General features: G+C 34.7%; 1 protein-coding gene across 12 annotated transcripts in view, besides 1 other annotated feature; it reads right to left on the bottom strand.

The window, feature by feature from the left end:
* Nucleotides 1–16,770, bottom strand: part of STXBP4 (syntaxin binding protein 4) — a 244,509-nt gene that overhangs the window by 134,157 nt on the left and 93,582 nt on the right. For all 12 annotated transcript variants that reach the window (XR_007065289.1, XM_047435714.1, XM_017024410.2 and 9 more), the window contains 3 exons: nucleotides 6,041–6,217; nucleotides 923–1,039; nucleotides 382–431 (listed from right to left, as the gene is read on the bottom strand). Coding sequence is in view for 11 of the 12 variants with exons in the window: in XM_047435714.1 (XP_047291670.1) it covers nucleotides 382–431; nucleotides 923–1,039; nucleotides 6,041–6,217 (344 nt within the window). In the remaining variant the exon portion in view is untranslated. The remainder of the gene's footprint in view (nucleotides 1–381; nucleotides 432–922; nucleotides 1,040–6,040; nucleotides 6,218–16,770) is intronic.
* Nucleotides 6,562–6,762: a silencer, noted in NCBI's record as "peak2901 fragment used in MPRA reporter construct". NCBI's record gives its function as "represses an SCP1 promoter by STARR-seq MPRAs in K562 erythroleukemia cells {active_cell/tissue: K562}" and the evidence as "EXISTENCE:reporter gene assay evidence [ECO:0000049][PMID:32103011]".

The raw sequence follows: 16,770 nt of genomic DNA, 5'->3' as shown, positions 1-16,770 counted from the left end.
CAGAACAACTAACCTGCTGGGTTGAGACACTTTTAGTAGTGAACCTGTGACCAGTAACTTTGATTCATACGCAAGACAATTACAGAATTTTAAGTTAATCTCATCTTTATAGAATTTTTGATAAAGACAGGATAGGTGGTTTCTACCATAATTTTAGATTACAAGGTTACAATGATTGACTAAATACCTCCAGGAATTTCTTTAACAGAGATGGGACACAAAACAATATGTCCTTGCATCTATTTCCATATGATGGCATCCAATGGGAGTTATGTAGCACCTTAGGACTATTTAAGAGATTTTTAGTATTTGAGTCACAATGACCAGATGAAGAATTTAATCACTACCCATATTCTGCAAAAAGCACTTAAATTTTCTTACCTTAAATTTGATAAAGGAGTAGAATTATCAGAAAATACTTCTTGAATAGCCTAGCAACAAACAAGATGGTGAAGGAGATATATCAGTTTGACAGTTTTTAAAAAATATCTTTTCTTCATTAATATTTATAACCTCCTCTGTCCACGGATTAAACTGATGCTTCTATTATGTAGCGGGGGTGCAAACAATTGAACTAACATGCAGTTTTACTCAGAAATATAACAGCTATGAAAACATTTCTTTATAAGGTAAGTAGTTATCAAATAATGTTTATGCATTATCAGGATTTTTGGTAAAGTATTCATTAAAATAGTATATACTTGGAATCCCATCACCTTGTCTCAATTATTTCTCTAAACAATCTATAAAATGTTAGCCAGTCTTTTCATCATGTATGCAGTTCTAAATCTGACCATAAGCCAGCATTGCTGCTTTGAGACTAGAGAATGTTTCACTAGGTACCAAATACAGTAACATTTATCTATATGCCAGTTGCCTATATATTTTTTAAAGATGAATGTAATAGAACAGAAAAACTTACCTCTACAAAATGAAGAAGCTTTTCAGTGGATGCCTCAAAAGTTTTTCGAGCCATTTCTGATTTTCGTAATTGGCAGTCGAGTACCATGATTCTCTTTTTTAAATCCTGAACACTTTCCTGCACAGAGATATCAAAAGGAGCATTTACACATTTCTTCAGTTTTACATTACTGGTCCCTATTTTCAGTTTTTATGAACTAATATTCAATATTACCAAATTATCTTTTTCTCTTACTGTACATATGTTTTGATTTTGGGGGGCATGTAACTAACTGCATATTTAAAAGTTAATTTGCACAGAGATACTGCAAGTTTTATGAGATAAGTTGTATATGAGTTTATTGATTCTTATAGTAAAATACATTTAAATTAGTTTATGGTTTTGTTTTGTTTTGTTTTTGCAATGTGTCTTACCAGATGCTGACAGAAACCTCTACTAATTTAACATAACTAAAAATGCTGGATACACACACACACACACACACACACACACACACACACACACACACGATGTAAGACAAAGCTAGCAAGGAAGTAAAGGAATTCCATGGAGACATGCAACAGCGATGCCAAGTGAGCCCACTGGGGTAAGAGAGCACTGAAGCATTATTTGTTCGGAGGGTATATGCTGATCCCTGGTGGCCTACAGTTTGGGGTTTCAACAGTCACAAATGGAAAACAGAAGAAACTCAATGGGTGAACTGGGAAGAAGTAAACTTCACAGAGGTAAACAGTGTTTTGATGTTGGCTCAGGTGACTTGAGTAAAAAAGTTTCTCCTGAATAATTCCTAACCAAAAGTCCCCATTCACACAGGTTTGGGGCCAGAATTTACATTATCTGTGTGGCCTAAAAAGCCATATGCTGAAATTTTACTTTAAATTGGTCCCAGGCTAGCAGAAGCAAACTCAAAACTCTGGAGAGATATTTCTAAAACTCAGAGCTCAAAGAATTCCCACTTATAATGCATTGATAGAACATGATCTCACAGACACAAACAAAAATCACTAAACATATGAGAAAATAAGCTCTATGAATGAAAGCTAACTGAAGGAAATAAAGTACAGTATCAGATCTATAAAGACAGCAGATATTTAAGTGAGCAGATACAAAATATAAGGCAATTATGTTTAATATGTTTTTAAAAATAAGAGGGAATTGAAAGTATAATACACAAGAAACTATTGAAATAGATCCAGATAACATAAAAAATACATCTCAAAAATAAAAATGTAACATAACTAAATTAGAAACTTTATTTATAGATTTGACATCCAGTTAGATACAATTATAAAGAGAATGGGTGAACTTGACAACAGAGGTAAAGAAACTTCTCATAATGGAACAGAAAGACAAAAATTGAAATACAAATGGGGAGAAAAGGTAAAGAGAAAACAGCCAGAAGAAGCTATAGCACACATCCAATCTGAATTACACAAGAACAAATACAAAGAATGAAAGAGAAATCGCTCAGGATAATAGCTTAGTGATTTCCAGAAATGGCAGAAGACATTGCTCTTCGAATCGGGAAGCTCAATGAATCCCAAATAGTACACACTAAAGTAAGTTCACACATGATTCATCATAGTCAAACTGCTGAACATTGAAGCCAAAGATATCTTAAAATCATATAGAAGGAAACAGATTGCAAACAAATGACAGATTGACAGCTGACATCACAAACACGAAATAAAAACAGTGAAAGATATTAAATGCCAACTTAACATTTTAAATGTAGCAAAAATATATTTCAAGAACAAGAGTTGAATAAAGATGTTCTTCAGACAAATAAAATGGGGAGAGCTTATTATCATCAGATCCTCACTACATGAATTTCTAAAATATGTACTCATGAAGAAAGAAACCAAGTGAGAAGGTCTGAGATGTAAGAATGCTTAACAGAAAATGGTAAAAATGGAGTCTATTAAGCAAATGCTGACCACACAAAACAAATAATCAATGTCTAATTTGTGGTCTTAAAAGTAAAGAAAGAACTAAAATACTGACAAAAATGGAAATTAAGTCAGGAGGGATGACTGGATTTGTGTCCATTTTACCATAGAGTGAAAAGGCAAGCCAGAAATTTGGAAGAAGATTTTTATAACATGTAATTTAACAAAGGATTAGTAACCAGAAGAATCACTATACATCTACATGAAAAAGACAACTAATCCACTGAAAAAGGGTCAAAAGATATGAAGAAGCATTTCACAGAGAAACACAAATGCCTAATAAAGAGATAAATATATGCTCAACTGGCTACCAGGGAGGAGGAAACCTTGGTTTATAACATTTATGGGTAGAAATAACCCCATTATAGCTGATTTCAAGCTACCAACCTGATATCACTGTACATTGAGTTGAGAAGAGATGCATGCAATCAGCTCTCATGAGCTAGTGTCAGTTGGTCCCAGCACATCACTGTCTCAAAGCCATTAGTAACCAGGGAAATTCAAATTAAACTGTAATGATGTAACACTTATTACAACTACCAGATTAATAAAATTAAAATAAAACAAAGGGTCAGCAAGTATGCGGGGTAAACAATAATTCTTATTCATTACTGGTGGGAGTACAAATTAGTTCAAACACTTTCAAGCACAAGTAGGCATTACCTAGTAAAGCCAAACTTACAATTATTCAACTTAGCAATTCTACTCCTAGCAGGTAACTATTACACATGTGGAGCAGGATACATGCACTAAAATGTTTTTAGCACCATTTATAACAGAAGAGAACAGAAACAATTGGACTGTCCATCAAATGCAGAATGGATAATTACACGTAGTATATCCACACAATAGAGTACAAGAAACAATAAGAAGACACGAACTAGCTAAAAACTTCAAATAGATGAAATGCAAAAACAAAATGTCGAGTGAAGAAAAGCAGGTCAGAATGATACATAGAGTATATTTCTATTTATATAAAGTTGATAAACAGGTAAAACTAAACAACATATTGTTAAGGAATATATACACAAGTAGTAAAGTTTTCAAGAAAATGGTTAAGAATAAATCCAAGAAAGTGATTATCTCTGAGGGAAAGGGTGGGAGATGCAATTGGAGAGAAACACTGTGGGTCTTCAAAGGTACTAGTAATGTTTTATTTCTTATGTTGAAGGTGAATAAAAACTCCAAAAGGTAAATAAATAAATAAATAACATAAAGAAAAAATTATAATGAAAAATAAATGTACTGTTACAAAAAGAATCTGTTATCTTACAAATAGACACTTGAATTTTAATTCTGTAACATCTTGGTCAATGTCTCTTTAAGCAATCTCATGATTAAAAAAAAAAGGTTTCCTTCTTTTTTTCCACTGATATTGGGTTTAGAAAATGTTGAATGTTGAGATGCTCATATTAATAGCTCTTTAAAGAGACTCTTTAAAGACTGTTTTCAGAGACAGGTTACTGGCTTAGAGTCTTGTTAAGAGAAATGGCATGAGAACCCGATTATGATAAAAGAGAGAAAAACTGAATTAATTATATTACCAGGCAACTTAGGACAAAAATGTTTCTCAGTTAAGAGCTGGAAGAGAGATTACAAATAACCCAAGCTTAAAAAAGAAACAAAAAACAAGGAATAATTTCATGTGAACTTTCTTGAAAGTTATATCATTTAAAAATAAAATATTAAACACTCTTGATTTTTCACTTCAAAAGTAACCATAATAAATAGTACTTTTGATATTGTGATAAATCTCAAAATATTTTCATACTCAGGCTAAAGTTACATAACATTATCACATATCTACTTTCAGAATGTAAAAACCAGGTCACAAATAACAAATATGTAATATTCCTAAATATTGCTGATTTGTAAACTATATGTTTTCCTCTTCGCCTTGTGGTATTATCAAAGGGTGATGGGAACTTCAGCCTTCTTGTGGAATTGGTTTAAGTGAATAATGTGAGAAATAGTTTAGTGACTTTTAACAGATTTCAAATTTTCTTTGGTATTTTGCATTTGTAACACTAGTTTCATTTTCACATGCTATATTTAAAGTATTTAACTTTTTAATGTTTAAATAGTCATAAATTATTCAGATTTTCTTTATGTTCTCTTAGAAACTGATTGGATTAGAGATATACATAACCAGTTATGTTTGTAAGTGAACAAATGTATGAATATTTATTTCAATTTACTCGATTTTCTACCTTAATTCAGTGAAGTAAAAATATATGACTATTATAGATTTTTGAAGCCTCTTCACTGAATATAGTATGTATTATGTAAAAAAAAATTGCATAAAAAAGTTTGCACTGTCCAGGCGTGGTGGCTCATGCCTGTAATCCCAGCACTTTGGAAGGCCGAGACTGGTGGATCACCTGAGGTCAGGAGGTCAAGACCAGCCTGGCCAAGATGGTGAAACCCTGTCTCTACAAAAATACAAAAAATTAGCTGGGTGTGGTGGCAGGTGTCTGTAACCGCAGCTACTTGGGAGGCTGAGGCAGGAGAATCACTTGAACCTGGGAGGCGGAGGTTGCAGTGAGCTGAGATCATGCCATTGCACTCCAGCCTGGGCGACAAGAGTGAAACTCTGTGTCAACAACAACAAAAAGTTCGCACTGCCTTCTGAAAAGCATTCAGTATTTTGCTATTGAAACTGGAAAATCATCTATTGGAAACTACTTTAGTACACCTCACATTAAAAAAAATTCAAACTCAGTTTCTTCCCATTAATTATCTAGGCCTTAGGCAAACATTCCTTCACTTTAATACTTCCTTGAATGCTCTAATCAAAGAGCAAACCCATTCCTAGACTCCCCTGCTCCCATTCCCATAAAACAAATTAGCAGGTTTAGAAACAAAAGAAAAAAACCAATGTAATCAATTAAATGTTAAAGAGTTCCAGGACTTAATACCTGAACTGAACAATTTTGACCAATGACCTAAATAAATTTGGGGCACATGCTTTTCCATCCCAAAGCCATCTGGATAAAGGAAGGCTCAAGACCTTTACATTATCCCCATCAGGACACAGCATCCTATCATTGAATAATAGAAGACAAACACTGACCTAGTTTAGAAGTGCAGATGAAAAGAAAATGAAAACAGGATACATGACAACGGCAAGGAAACCATGGTAACTGGAAGAGATGACTGCTTTGCTTACTTTATTTTGGTCAGAATAATCAGCAAGCTGAGCCTTTAGCTCTGTAATCTTGGCCTCTAACAGACGGATCACTTCTTCATAGTCCATTTCCATTCCATGTGCCTGTCTCTGAGCAGCTTCAGCAAGATGAATCCGACTACGCAGGGCTCTTGTTTCTTCAACTACAGCTTTGGCTTCCTAAAGATTTCAAAATTAATGTCATTTAAAAAATACATAAGAAATAGTTCCGAGGTTTATACAAAATATTTTCCTTGCTCTGGAAGTTATAATTCCAAAAAGTCAATATACATATATTATTTATTTATCAATTTGAAAATTAATAGTTATGTTATTTTATTATGTGAGGTAGTTGCCTGATCTTACTTTTTCCTTTGTTGATTTCAGCATGGAATCTCTTGACTTCATATACCTAGCATAACATTTTGAAAATAAAGGAAGTAGAAGATAGTTGAAAATGGAAAACAGAAGAATAAGAAAGGGCTCAAAAGATAAAAAGAGTAGGCTACAACAAAACTCAAGTAGGTAGTAGGACTCATGTTCTAAAAAGGCTCTTGTAGGGTCATCAGATGCTGCTGAGAGATTTGTAGTAGTGTTATGGGGCTTCTCCATGGACCAAGCTCCAGGGGCTAAAGTTATCTCATGGACGTCAATCTATCTACTACTTCTCCCTTTTGGTTTAAGCCAAAAGGTAGCATTTAGTAGCAAAGTACATAATCGTGTTGTTGAATGCAAGGCTCACAAGACATTTATTAAACACATGTTATGTCTCAGGTGCATCACGTGTCTTTTCTCACTTAATCTTTAAAACAATATTGAGAGAAAGACATTACTAAAAAACATTTCATACATAAGCAAACAGACTCAGAGAAGTTATATGACCTGTTCAAGAACACACAGCAGTGCCAGAATCTGAAACTAGGTCTGCCTGACTGCAACATTAATGCTGTCTTTCTACTGTTTTACTCTGCCTCTAAATGAAAAAACAAAAAAACCCCATACAGGTATACCTTCCACCTTAGGAAGAGGAAAGGGTAGCCAAAACCACTTGCTCTATCAAAATGTACTTGGAGGGAAAAAAATGTACCTTGGTACTGGGTCAAAGACAGTCCCCCAGGACACCAATATAATTTAATATGGCACTTCTTATACTGTAAACCATTCCTTTTTCTTTACTTGATGCAGAAATCTCTTTTCTCTGCGATAGAACTTTCTGCTCCAATTGCCATGGCTAATATTAAACTATGGCTATTTTAATTTTTTCAGAGCTGTTAAGGGACATTTGCTTTTGTTTGAGCCTAAATACATTTGAAGTGCTGGGAGGGTTAGGAATGCTGGCATATTCTTAAGGGTCAGTTTTTCATTCATACATTCAATAATGATTTATTAAGTATTTATTATGTGTCAGGTTCTGTTTCAGGTACTGGGGGTAGACACTAAACAATATAGACAAAAAGCCTTCCCTCTTGCTCCTTGGAATTTACATTCTAAGTTTGGGGAGATAGACAGTAAATCAGGGATGAGAGGTAAATGTCTCATTGAAAAGATAACTGACCAGAGACCTGCAGGAGGAATGGAGTTAGGATTTCCCAAGGAGGAGCTTTCTAGGAAGAGCGAACAGTTTGCATGAAGGCCCTGAGATGGAGCTGTGATTTGTGTCTTTCAGAGAACAGCAAGGAAGCCAGTGTAGTAGAGGTAGGAGTAGTAGGGTCCAGGAAGACGGGAGTAGTAAGACATGAGGGCAGAATGGTAACAAGAGTGAATATAGGGATGGAGGTAGAGTGAAGTGGCAGAGGCTAAGAGAATTTGTAGGCCGTTGCAAGGACTTTGGTTTTACTCAGGGTAAGATGGGAAATGATTGGAGGGTTTTGGGCAGAGAATCGATGTGATCTGACTTAAATTTTAAAAGTGTTACTTTTGCTGCTGTGTTGAGAATAGACTGTAGATGGTGGGCAAGGGTGGAAGCAGGGAGAAGAAAAAGGAGATGGGCAAAAATTAACTGTAGCTTCAATAAGGGTGATAGTGGTGGAGTTGGTGTGAAGCAGTTAGATTCTAAATACAGTTTGAAGGTAAAGCCAACAGAGTAGTTCATCAATAGCATTTATTTAGCAGCCACTGCATCTAGCAACCATGTTTATGACAAAAATACAAAGGGGTAAAAGATAACCTCTCCTTTTCTGTCTCAACTTAGAACATCAGGTATGACTTAGATAAATGGATGAAGAAAAGAGGATGTTACAAAAAGAGAACCATGTGAATAAAGGAAGAGAGACAAGAAGAAATGTGGCACACTGTGAAACAATACTAGATCAATTATGATTGGAGTAGAGACTTGCTATAGGGGAGTAATGGATAAAAAAAGGTCGTGGAAAGGGAGGGAGTCAGGCTCTGGTAGAAATGGCAGGCATGAAGGGGAAGGAGCTTGAGTCTGAAGAAGACTTGAAGGCTTCTGAGCAGAAAATGATATGAGAAAACAGTGCTTTAGAAAGCTAAATCTGGCAGCAGGGTGCCAGATGGAGAGATGTGGCCAACCAATTGCCTTCTATGCCCTTGACTCAAAGGACTTTATTTCCTTGTATCTAAAAGTAATTGTTTTATAATAAAAGAATACTTTTAGAAAGAAATATCTGGAAAAGGTAGGTACATTAACCTAGCCTACCACACCAGTCAATTTCATTCAGATGATCAAGAGAGTCTCTAGTGACACAGCTAGATCAACTTCACACTAGACTGCTGCTGTGCATACAGGAGATAATGGCTAACTATGTGCCAGCACTATTCTCAATGTTTTACATCCATCAACTCAGTTAATCCACACACTGCCATGGATATGTCTATTATTATCTGCATTTTATAGACAGGACATTGATGCACAGGAAAGTTAAGTAACTAACTCAGAATCACAAACCTAGTAAGTGACAGAGCTAAGATTTGGCAGTCTAGTTATAAAGTTCATGTTCTTGGCTACTATGCTGTACTACCTTGCCAACTACAGAAAATGTTTTTAAAAAATCACTTTTAGATGACAATATTATCAGTGCCCAGTCCTGGATGAGCTTATGATGTGGTCATTACAATAGGTATATTTGAGGCTGCTTCACTCTCCATTTTTCATTCAATCAATCTAAAAAAAAAAAGACTCTAAAGAGAAAGGGCAGGAAATTCTCCATAGCTGCAATGAAGAATAACTAATTTGATGATTTGTCTTCTTCACACTCACTTCATGCAGCTTTTATTCCTCTATAAAAACAGCACTTTTATTTTTGTTCAAAGAATGCTAGTTAATTAAATGAAGACTCTGGATGGAATTTATATAGCCATTATTGTGCACTGATGGTAATACAGTGTGAAATGTAGTTGGGTGGTAAAAGATGCAGAGGTTTTGATGCTGAATAAATTCATGCTATTTCTTTTGTAAATGTGTAACTGTCAGGTTGGTGAATGTGACCCCTTAGCAAAGTTCTAGCCCAGTTACCACTGAATGGCTGTTTAAAAGATTAGTGCATTGAAATGATGACTTTTAGAGGAAGCAGTAAAGAAAAGATAACAGCAGTGTGCCGTATTTAGCAATACAAGATCACATAAATCCATTTTCTCTTTTCCTCCCAGGCTGTCTTCTAATAAATAACTGTACAGCCTCCTATGTCAGTAACAACTGAGCCAGAATTTTCCCAGTGCCTCACCATGAGACTGAAATCCCATCAGGGAAAATGCTGTCGTCCATTTACTGATTTACTATGTACTAGATAGAGTTTAATTCAGTTTAGAAGGTTAGATAATAAAAGAAAAATGAAGATATAGTAGTAAGTCAGAAAATCCACATAAGCATTATGCTTTTTAATACTAAGCAGTGTGAGCAAACATACTAGAAGGGAATCCTGAATTAAGAAGTAAAATCTCTAGCTTATTTTTTTTTTTTTTTTTTTGGCAACACTGAGGAAATGTCTTCAACTCACACTGGCCCTTTATAAAATGAGGTTTTTCTGCCTCACGATTACATAATGAAACTTCAAAGAGCAGACCAAAGTCTTCTTTGAAAATGTAATCTGAACTAATGAAAATCTTTGTAGGCTACCAATACTTTGGACTTTTGTTGGGACAAAGCACGGTAACAGCTCACACACAGGACAATAAATATACTATGTGTTTTTCCACATACAGTACTTTTCCCCCACAAGGTAACATGATCTAGAATGAAAAAACATGGGCTTTGAATGGGACATAACTAGGTTAGAATCTCAGATCAGAATTTTACACTTTTAAAAATTTTCTGGCTCTGTAATTCTCTAAGACTCAGTTTGCTCATTTTTATAATGGAAAATCACACCTATTTTATTAGATCAAAACTATTCTCACAAGAGAATTAAAGAAACTATAATAGTTCTTGGCACAATTTTTTCCTTTTCCTCTTTCTTACCTTGAAAAAATATACATAATCACCTGTGTGATCAAAGAGCTAGACAAAATAATTTATTAAGGGTTTTCCTGAGGCACTCAATTAGTAACACCAGCTCTTGAACTTTGGAGAGTTGTTTGGAAACAAAATTTGCACATGTATTTTTTAATGTTAGCAACAATCATGTAAAGCCCTTTCCTCTAGTTATGAGTTGTAATGAATGGCTCCCTATAGTAGAAGGAAAAAGCATTAATTGCAGTAGCACATCTGTAATTAGGCTAACACATTCACATCACTAAATTTAAAAGTTCTGCAATTTTTAAGTTCATCAGTAAATCTTTCAAAATGTCAATAGGTGACAGGAGAAAAATGAGACTGCAAAGAGATATAATGTTTTTGTGCAATGTAACCTATGCTACCAAGCCCTAAAGAATACTTCTCTTATCAGCTTCCTACATCCACTCTTTGGAAAGCCCTTCTTGGTCTTGGTACTATTACAGCTTGTGAAAAAAATTAAGGGTTACTGCAGGAAAAGAGCTATTGAATTAAAATGTTTAAAAGCAAGTTATATCTAGTTTCCTTGACTTATGAGTCTGATTTGTTAAAATATATATAATATACCTTTCAATGGATAATCCCAAAATGCTTTGCAGATATTGACAAATGAAGGTATAACTCACCCCTCAGGCATGAATGTGTATGGGGGAGAATATGATTCGTAGAACTTTTTAACAGACCTCTGACATATGCTTTCTTTTCTCTTTCCTCACTCCCCCTCCATGACTCATCTAGCCAACTCCTCCTCCTCCTTACCTAACCAGTAATTAAGCACTGTGAAGTCTTCATTTATAATGTAATTTGCAGCTGTTGCTTAATTTCCATTCTAACCACTGTATTACTGATTTATGTCTTTATCCTCTCATGCTTGGGTACTATGAAAATCACATATGTGATCACCCTGCCTACTGTGTTCTTTATTGTATTCTGCATACTTCTGAAAGATTGATTTCCTCAAAATATTGATGAAGTACCACCTTAGGTAACAAACCTAACAACATGGTACATGATAAAATATATCCTCATTCTTCATTCTTCAAAGTTCTCTACTACCTATTCCAAATCAACCTACTTACTAGCTTTAGTCCACTTAACTCTCACATGATTCCCATATCCAAGTACATTAACTTACCACATTTACCAGGTGAAATTCTTCTACTTCCAAGACACTTTGGGTCACATTAATCCTCTAGGTATATATATTTTTCACCTTTTTCCATCATTTAGTTGTTACTTGTCCTTCAAAATCTATCTCAGATTTCACCTTATCTGTTTTTCCATTCTACTTTTGTATAAATGATCTTTCTCTCCTTTTTTATCTTTTAGATTTGTCGTCTGTAATTAATCACATATTTAGTACTCTTAACTGCTATCTTGAACTGTCATTAAAATGCTTTATTACCCAACTTTCTAAAATCAAAGGGTCTTGACTGCCCAAATTAGAACACAATCTGTCTGAGAGTAAAAACCCTATCTAATATGAGCAGGTACTCTACTTAACATAAAATGAGATATAACTGAGTTGACAAACCATGAAAATGACTATTTCATTTTTCATATACAAAAACTGCCTTAAGGAACTTATTTAGGCAAGAAGCTTTCATAGGAAATTTCTTCAAAAAAGGGTTCAGATTTATGGGAATATTAGAACTACATTTTATTTAACAATTAAAATAACAATCATAAACTATGCTTTGAGAAACACCATATAATAATAGGCAAATTATTTCATTATATTACTTTTTTAGAGTCTCACTGTGTTGCCTAGGCTGGAGTGGAGTGGCATGATCTTGATTCACCGCAACCTCCGCCTCCCAGGTTCAAGGTGATCTAAAGACATCCACCCACCTCGGCCTCCGAAAGTGATGGGATTACAGGTGTGAGCCACCATGCCAGGCTGCATTATATTCTTTTTATATAAATTTTAAAAAATCTTTTTTACAGTATTTATCAAGCAAATAAGACTAAGTGGAATGAAGAAAATACCAATGCTAAAAATGACAATTATACTTGTTTGTCAATTTTATTTCTTGTTTTCATTAAAAATATAAGATTTTAAAATTATGAACATTAATTTATATTTCCTTAAAAATTACAATTTTTGGCCAGGCACAGTGGCTTACATCTGTAATCCTAGCACTTTGAAAGGCCAAGGCAGGTGGATCACCTGAGGTCAGGAATTTGAGATCAGCATAGCTAATATGGTGAAACCTCATGTCTACTAAAAATACAAAAATCAGATGGGTATGGTGGCAGGACCCTGTAACCCCGGCTACTTGGGAGGCTGAGGCAGAAGAATCTCTTGAATTTGAGAGGTGGAGGTTGCACTGAGTTGAGATCACACCACTGCACTCTAGCCTGGGTGACACAGCGAGACTCTGTCTCAAACAAAACAAAACAAAACAAAACAAAACAAAACAAAACAAAACAACAAAACCCACAATTTTCCATCATGAGAAATACAGTGCATGTTCTCTAAGACTAAATAATCTTGAAGGTCTTTTTCAACCTTACCTAATCCTTGATTCCACAGTTTAGGTAGCAACACTCATTTATAAAGTGTGTAATAATGATGGATATCTAGAACTTCAAGAAACAAAGATTTTCTTTAGTTTGTATGATAAAGTAAAATCCATGCTCATTTTGCAAAGAAAGATTGGTTAAGCTTTTGGAAGAAAAACAGGTCAATCAGATTATAATTAGCTCTAATTAACCCTCCCAAGAGCTTTCAACTTTTTTTACCTGCAGCTGCCTTACTCTCCAAAAGGTGCAAAATTGATTTCTGCTTCTAAGCATCAAAGAAAATCAAAGAAACAATTTTCAATCTCCTTTATAAACAGAAGTCCCTAATCAAGGACAGATATAAAAATACATCTAATTGATAAATTTTATCATATGAAACTTGTTCACAATATAAATATTAGTTACAATCCTCTTTGAAAAATATATTTAACCTTGAACATGTATTTTCTGGTTTAATGAAGACTGACATAGAAAAAAAAAAAGCTACTTTCCTAATTCTCCAATTCTGGTTACACAAAAGGGAAAATTTATAGTATTGGAAACTTCCTTTCATAATTGCAGATTAAACTCTTTTCATTGAAAAATGGTACAATTCAAAAGCAACTTCCGGGGTGTTAAACATTAGAATTCATCTGAAATTTGGGACTTAAGGGAGATCTGTCTTTAAAACAGAAATATATTCCTTCCACATTAACCTTTAGAGATTTAATTAAATTGGAATCAAAATTTCATCAAATTTTGTTTTGGAGGAATTTGACCAAGAATTCTAAATTCAAAGCGAGACATAACAAGAGCTAAATAAAAAGATTCTTAAGTTGATGTCGATGAATAAATCAGTGAAAACTGGTAAGCAAATTTTGAAACAACAAGAAATAAAGAAACAAGAGGAAACATGGCCCAAGAATTTAAGGCTTTCATAAAGCAGCAATAGTTGGTACTGGCCAAAGAGGAGTTAGATAAAACAGTCATTTACCTAATAAATATTGATTGAAAAAGCAACTAGAAAGACCAGATAGCCCCATACAGACCCTATATTATGTAAGAATTTAATCTATGATAATGATGATAACACAAAATAAAAGTGGTTGCGACAACTATTTGGAAAAACAGTGTAAAGTGTAGACCCTCATCTCATACCATATATCTAACAAAATAATTTCTTAGATGAATTAAAGAAAGATATTACAGGGATCTAGGTAAATATATATCTGAAATATGACTAGGAATGAACTTAAATAAAGTTATAAAAAACGAAAAATCATAAAGACAAAGGTTTGACAACACAAAAACATTTATGTTTAAAAACTTCAAAAAAAATTAGACTGTAATCCCGGCACTTTGGGAGGCGGAGGTGGGTGGATCGCAAGGTCACGAGTTCGAGACCAGCCTGACCAACATGGTGAAACCCTGTCTCTACTAAAAGTACAAAAATTAGCCGGGCATGGTGGCGGGTGGCGGGTGGCGTGCCTGCAATCCCAGCTACTCAGGAGGCGGAGGCAGTAGAATCGCTTGAACCCGGGAGCTGGAGGTTGCAGTAGCCGAGATTGTGCCACTGCACTCCAGTCTGGGCGACAGAGCAAGACTCCATCTCAAACAAACATTAGAAAGGCAATTTGTAGACAGAGGGAAATATGCCCCAGAATTGGTAGAAATAGGGTTAATAACTACAGTGTAAAGAGATCTTATAATTACAGTAGTGAAAGGGGAAAAACAGTGATTAAGAATATGAGAGGAGGAAAGAGGAAAAAGCAGTGGTGGGAAGGGGACACAGACAAGATAAAGGGCATGTGGCAGGGGTAGCAGAATACCACTAGCAACCACATCAGGAAATCAGCTGCCTTCAATACTGAAGAACTGTGATGAAGTTCACAGTTTAATTTCAAATCCATGGTTACAGACAATCTTTGATATCTAACATGGATGACGGTTAATCAAAGCAATATTTTCAAATAGTGATTTATTTATGTGGGATTAGGCATGACTAGAGAAGTCTTGTTTTTAACCCTAAAATAGCTTGTGAATAAATCATTTAACACAATGTCATGAGTCCCATACTGAAGTAAGGGACAGAAAGTGTTTCTCACATAGTAAACTGTCAAGATAAGAGTTTTATAGTATTAACTGCCTTATCACTACTTCCTCCTTGGGTAAAATTTACTAGTTTGTCAGCCAAATTAATTTATATTGCTCTAACATTAAGAAATGCAAAATGTTCAGCTTCTAAGTAGATGTTTAAAATATACCCTTAAAGATGTTCTCTTAGCAACTGAATAATGGAATTTTAGTGATGTGTATTTGTTTTTAGTAAAGCAAAGAAAATTATGGGGAGTAATGCCTACTTTCCTATATAGATATGCCTCTAACAACTCACCAGCCACAGGGCACCTATTATGAAATGCTTTCTAGAAAGTGACGATTTTGCTCTATTTTTATTTTTGCTTACTAGATTGAGAGCTCCTTGTAGAACTGTATGTTTAGCATTCACAATGACTCCATATAAAGCACGCATTTAGAAATGTTTCTTAAATTCTCTTACCAGGTCTCCCTTATAAGTTACTATAGAGCTTATAGTACAACTGATGCCAAAGTATGACATGTGGTCCCTAAATAGCCAGAAAATAAGTGGCTCATAGTATGGAACCTAGAACTTTAACAGCATCAGTTCTAACTAGGCCAACCTACTATAGGTAATAATCAAATGAACTGGAAGGTTCCTATGAAGAATTGCAGATTCTTCCAACATTGAAAATTCTGTGATTCTAAATTGAGTTCTATATTATAAATAGGATAATAAAATTTCTCTTAGAATCATTAACATGGTAAGATCTTTTCTACAATTAAAAAGACAAACAACTATTTGGAAATGATAATTTTGAAATAGACACCTTTGTTTGCCAATGCTTGCTTAGAAGGCTACATTCACCTCTAATGAATCACTAGGTATGGTTGGTGTCTGCGCAAACAGGAATGCCAGCTGGGCTGTCCAAAAGCTATGTGCTGGTGTTCCTTCTCCAAGCTCACTGCTGTTTCTTGGTCATAGTTTAATGGTGGAGAATACAGGAGTCACTTTCTGAATCACAAAAAAGGAATTAATGTAAAAAAAATCCAACTAAGTTTGTTTAATAAGTTTCTTCAACCAGATTGCTGTCTATCACTATAAGAGCTTTATAACTTCTTTTCTCAAAGAGATTTTTAAAAATCTTTTAAAAAAGCCTTTTCCAACTTCCAGGTACACCAATCAAAGCTCATCATCATTGGTCATTAGAGAAATGCAAATCAAAACCACAATGAGATAGCATCTCACGCCAGTTAGAATGGCGATCATTAAAAAGTCAGGAAACAACAGATGCTGGAGAGGATGTGGAGAAACAGGAACACTTTTACACTGTTGGTGGGAGTGTAAATTAGTTCAACCACTGTGGAAGACAGTGTGGAGATTTCTCAAGGATCTAGAACCAGAAATACCATTTGACCCAGCAATCTCATTACTGGTTATATACCTAAAGGATTATAAATCATTCTACTATAAAGACACACACACACATGCACACATATGTTTATTGTAGCACTATTCACAATAGCAAAGACTTGGAATCAACCCAAATGCCCATCAATGATAGACTGGATAAAGAAAATGCGGCAAATATACACCAGGTAATACTATGCAGCCATAAAAAAAGGATGAGTGCATGTCCTTTGAAGGGACATGGATGAAGCTGGAAATTATCATTCTCAGCAAACTAACACAGGAACAGAA

This window comes from Homo sapiens, chromosome 17, assembly GCF_000001405.40.
Source record: "Homo sapiens chromosome 17, GRCh38.p14 Primary Assembly".
Classification (NCBI taxonomy): Eukaryota; Metazoa; Chordata; class Mammalia; order Primates; family Hominidae; genus Homo; species Homo sapiens.
Note: the sequence above shows the minus strand (reverse complement) of the source record. Positions and strands in the feature narration are given on the sequence as shown.